The following is a 4373-nucleotide window of genomic DNA, read 5'->3' on the forward strand; positions in this document are numbered from 1 at the left end:
CTACTCTATGAACAAGTTTTTTAAGTTACAGTATAGTATTGGTAACCATAGTTACCATAGGGGAATATTTGCATGAGCTATCAGTGAAGTTCCAGCTGTCAAGACTTGCAGCAGATAATGAGTTTCCGTCTCCAGATGTCTCAGATCTGTAATGGTACAGCTTACTTCTCCCAGCATTTATAAACTTTTTTTTCAGGAAAATAGTAGTCACTGCAAATGTGGAACTTTTGCACTGTGCCTGAGGTCTGCAAATGTGTATTATCTCACACTCAATTTGAATGTTCTATATCAGACCTATTATCTAATTTTCACTACCACTGTCATAGCCTGTGACTGAGGATCAGTGCAGGGACAAACAGTGGCTCTCCCCCAACTCTTGGCCCAATGTATCACATATAAAGTAAGTGAAAACAGTGTGCTTACTTTGCAAATACTGCTTTAAGACATTTCTCTAAGCATCTTATGTATATCCAAGTTTAGCCCTCATGGATTTCCCAGTGACATCGTCCAGACTTATTCTCCACTTCTGTTAAAAATTTTATTTATTTCATTTTGGTTAGTTTTTATATTGCCTGTGTTTTTTTCTTTATTTTTAAAGAGAAGAACAAGACACAAGTTTGAAACATTTTTAAGCAACCTAAATAGAAGCAACTCTCTATATCGCTTAGAATGCGTGTGTGTGTGTGTGTGTGTGTGTGTGTAGAAATACTTAAGTTGTGTATTCCTTTTTATTATTTTTCCAGTATGTCAATAGGTGGAATTTGTGTTCTTTTCCATTAACTAACAAAAATAATTTGTGGGTATGGTTGTGTAACTTTAAAACTCAAAACAAGTTTATTTCATTATAAAACATTCAATTTTGTGATATCAGACATAGATTTTTAAATATCTTTAAATAAATTTAAAGTCATCTAACTTCTTTTAAATTCAATTAAGTACCATTTTTTGTTTGTTTTTTGATGGTCTCAAATCTTGCTCCATGTCATTTTCTCAGAGAAAATTAGTAACACAACATCAGCTTTGCCTTACCTCTGATTGATCTTAAAGTCTTAACTCATTTTATTGGTAGACTATACCATCTTTATTTCAACTAAGTTCTTGAAGACTTCAAAAGTGAATCGTTAAATAAATTAATTATCACCTATTTCTGTGGTGGAACTACTCCTACTTAGGCTGCTGGAGATGATAGCATTTCACGGCCTTAAGTTTCAAACCAAAGACAAACTAAATCAAATTGAATTATCCACTGCCTTTCCTTAGCCACCTGATATTATGGTCCAATCAGTAATATTTTAAAGACTGTAGGTTAGGTCAAAGAAAGCACAAGGCATGGTTCAATTGGACTCCTAATTTAAAACGAGCAAAGAAGGAGTGAAGGAAGGAAGGAAAGAAGGGAGGAAGGAAGGAAGGGAGGAAATAAGGGGTCACAAAAAGCTAAACATAACTTAAAGCTTGTCATCATCATGAACTCTGTTACTGCATTATTTCATTAAATAAGAAAGCCAAAATTTGTGCCATGCAGGAAGTGTAAATGGAAATGGATCTCTATTATTCATGTATTATTTGTAGGTTCTGGCTTCAACTGAACCAGGCAAACCCAACTTGCACCATATGGCATGAGCCGATCATCTTCCTGCAGCTTTTTAAAACATGGTTCATTTTTTCTGTTTATTGCTTTATTTCTTCAGTGACTTCCAGATAGTCTTATTGACCATCAGTCCCTTATTCACTCTCATCCTCTCAGTTTATTATATCTATGTTTATTTTTATTTTTTTGGAACTTTGTATTTTAGGAAAGACTACAGTGGCATGTGTCTCCTTTTGTTTTTCTCTGGCAATAAGGTTGATGTAGGGCCATCAATCTTCTGTCTTTAGGATTGTACATAACCTATGATTTACATGGTTTGTCATCAAAAATTTGCGTACATTTTCATTCAACATCTCTTTCCACTTCACTAATTCACCTTCTTGCCTTCTGAATGCTTTTCCAGTTGGAGCTTGCCAGCCACCTCCTCTTTCTACGAATAACTTTCTTTTTCAACAATGTAGATGAGACTGCTTTTCTAACTGCAGTGATGGAGCTAATCAGAACTTCCTAAATCTTTACAAAATTACAACTGAATACATTGATTGCCATCAGTGAGGTACCACCAAAACTATTTTTGTCAAAATAAATCTTGGTATGGGGATGGTCAGAGATGTGGAGATGGACTTTTCCAAAAGAGTACCATCACTTTGTTTCAGTTTTTAGAATACATTTTTGGGGTTGGTAGAAAGGAATAACTGGAACTTCAATGAGTTGAAATAAAAGAAACCATTGTCACTACAATCTGTTACTATAAGAACTTCAGAAGAACCGGTACACTGAGTTTAAACTATAGTTAACGGTTCACAAAACTCCTCCTTTTGATAATACAGCATATTTCCCAAGAGGAACACTCTTTATTCAGATGGGTCCCATATTTACATGTGACTTTCGAGACTGGTGATTTTACACCAGAACCTACAGTAACCAGAGTAAAATTATTGCTTCCCTAGCTTTGTGTCTCTCTGTATGTCAACAGGGGGAAAAAAGGCTTAAAAAATCAATGCCAATGACTCTAGAGGGAATCCCTCTAATGCGTCAGCTGTTATTAACACACCCTGAGGGGAACACTTTAATGGCTCATGACCATAGCACTGCTTTCCTGGCCAATCTGCCCTCTGGATCTTCTGTAAGACCAGTATAGCCTCTGTTAACTTGAACTGAGCAGCAAGGCACCTTTTTCTGGCTCCACAGTGCCAACTTAAAACAAAACAAAACAAAATAAAGCAAAAACAGACAATGCATATCTTGACTATCCTCGAATAAGGCCTCAGTTAAAACAGAAAAAAATTGAGACCAATTGATACGTCCTTTCTTAATTCAGCAGAACTGTCTTCTATTTCTTTATAAGAAGTGATCCGTTGGCAATGAGAAACCTAGAAAAGTTGTGAAAATTAATTTGCTTCTCCAAGAATGTGCAATAAATCATCTTTTATAATTTTACTCAAATGCAGGAGAATGATGGTCTGTATACCATCCACTATTCTTTTCATTGCAATGAGGTTAAAAGAGAGCATGAACAAAAATGGTTAATACTATAGTTACATTTTAACTAAAAAGCTAAGATTTACAATGCATTTTATTTTACCCAGAAGTGGGTAGCCATTATTCCAACTATATTCATTTGGATGTGTTTGAGGATTATATCCATAATTTCTGAAACACAGTATACAGTCATATCTTAGCCTTTCTGTCTTGTGTGTAGATAATCCACATTTTGAAGAGTTGTGTCACTGATTCATGGGTACAAATGTGAAATAAGTGAAACTAGTATGTATCTTGAGTAACCCTTATGACAGTAGAGAACATTGCTGGATGCAATGTCATGGATGCAGTATCTCCAACAAAGCTTTATGAATCTCTTCATCACTAATAAACTAAGGCAGAATTCCAAATTACTATAACGCATAGTAGGATTTCTGCTTTGGGATTCCTGGAACCTAGCTTTTTGTTCTTCCTACAAATTACAGATTCCATTATTTGGTGGCAAATCATCTATTTAGCAGCAATATGTGCTGAATGGTTGTGTCAAGTAACACTAATAAGCTTTCTAGGCTAGAAAGTATTAAAAAATTGTCAAATGAGTCATTTTTAACAATGGCAACAGAAACTAGCAAATGCATATGTTGAAGGCAATAACATGCAGAACCTCTTTGTTGTTTCAGAGGAAAAGATGGCAACCCAATATCAGCATGATTGCATGCTCACCTTCAGTAGGACAGTGTTTATATTTATAGGTACAGTGTGATTCTAAATTTGCTGGGTTGATATTAAGGTAGGTGCATGATTAATTCCTGATGAATGAAACTAAATATTTTATATATAAAAATGATACTACTAGTCAGGTATTTAGGAATTACAAAATTTGTTCTCTACTGTCAGATATTCATTACCACCAATGAAAACTGTAAAAGAGCACAGCTTTTAAAGAAAATGTAAGTCTTTCTCTGGAAATATTTGTGTGATTGAAACTCAATGAGTCCTTCTCACCTAGAGGCTTCTAATGAAGAGATCATTGAAACACACATTAAAATAGACTCCTGAGATAACATCATTTATGTCAACATTAAGAATAATTTTGGGAGATGTTTGTAGTTATTTCTGTTGGTAGTTCTTTTTTTTTTTTTTTTTTTTTTGAGATGGAGTCTCACGCTCTGCCGCCGAAGCTGAAGAGCAGTGACGTGACCTTGGGCTCACTGTAAGCTCTGCCTCCCAGGTTCACACCATTCTCCTGCCTCAGCCTCCCAGCTTGCCGGGACTACAGGCACCTGCCACCACGCTCGCCCAG

The sequence above is a fragment of the Homo sapiens genome, chromosome Y, assembly GCF_000001405.40.
Source record: "Homo sapiens chromosome Y, GRCh38.p14 Primary Assembly".
In the NCBI taxonomy this organism is placed as follows: domain Eukaryota; kingdom Metazoa; phylum Chordata; class Mammalia; order Primates; family Hominidae; genus Homo; species Homo sapiens.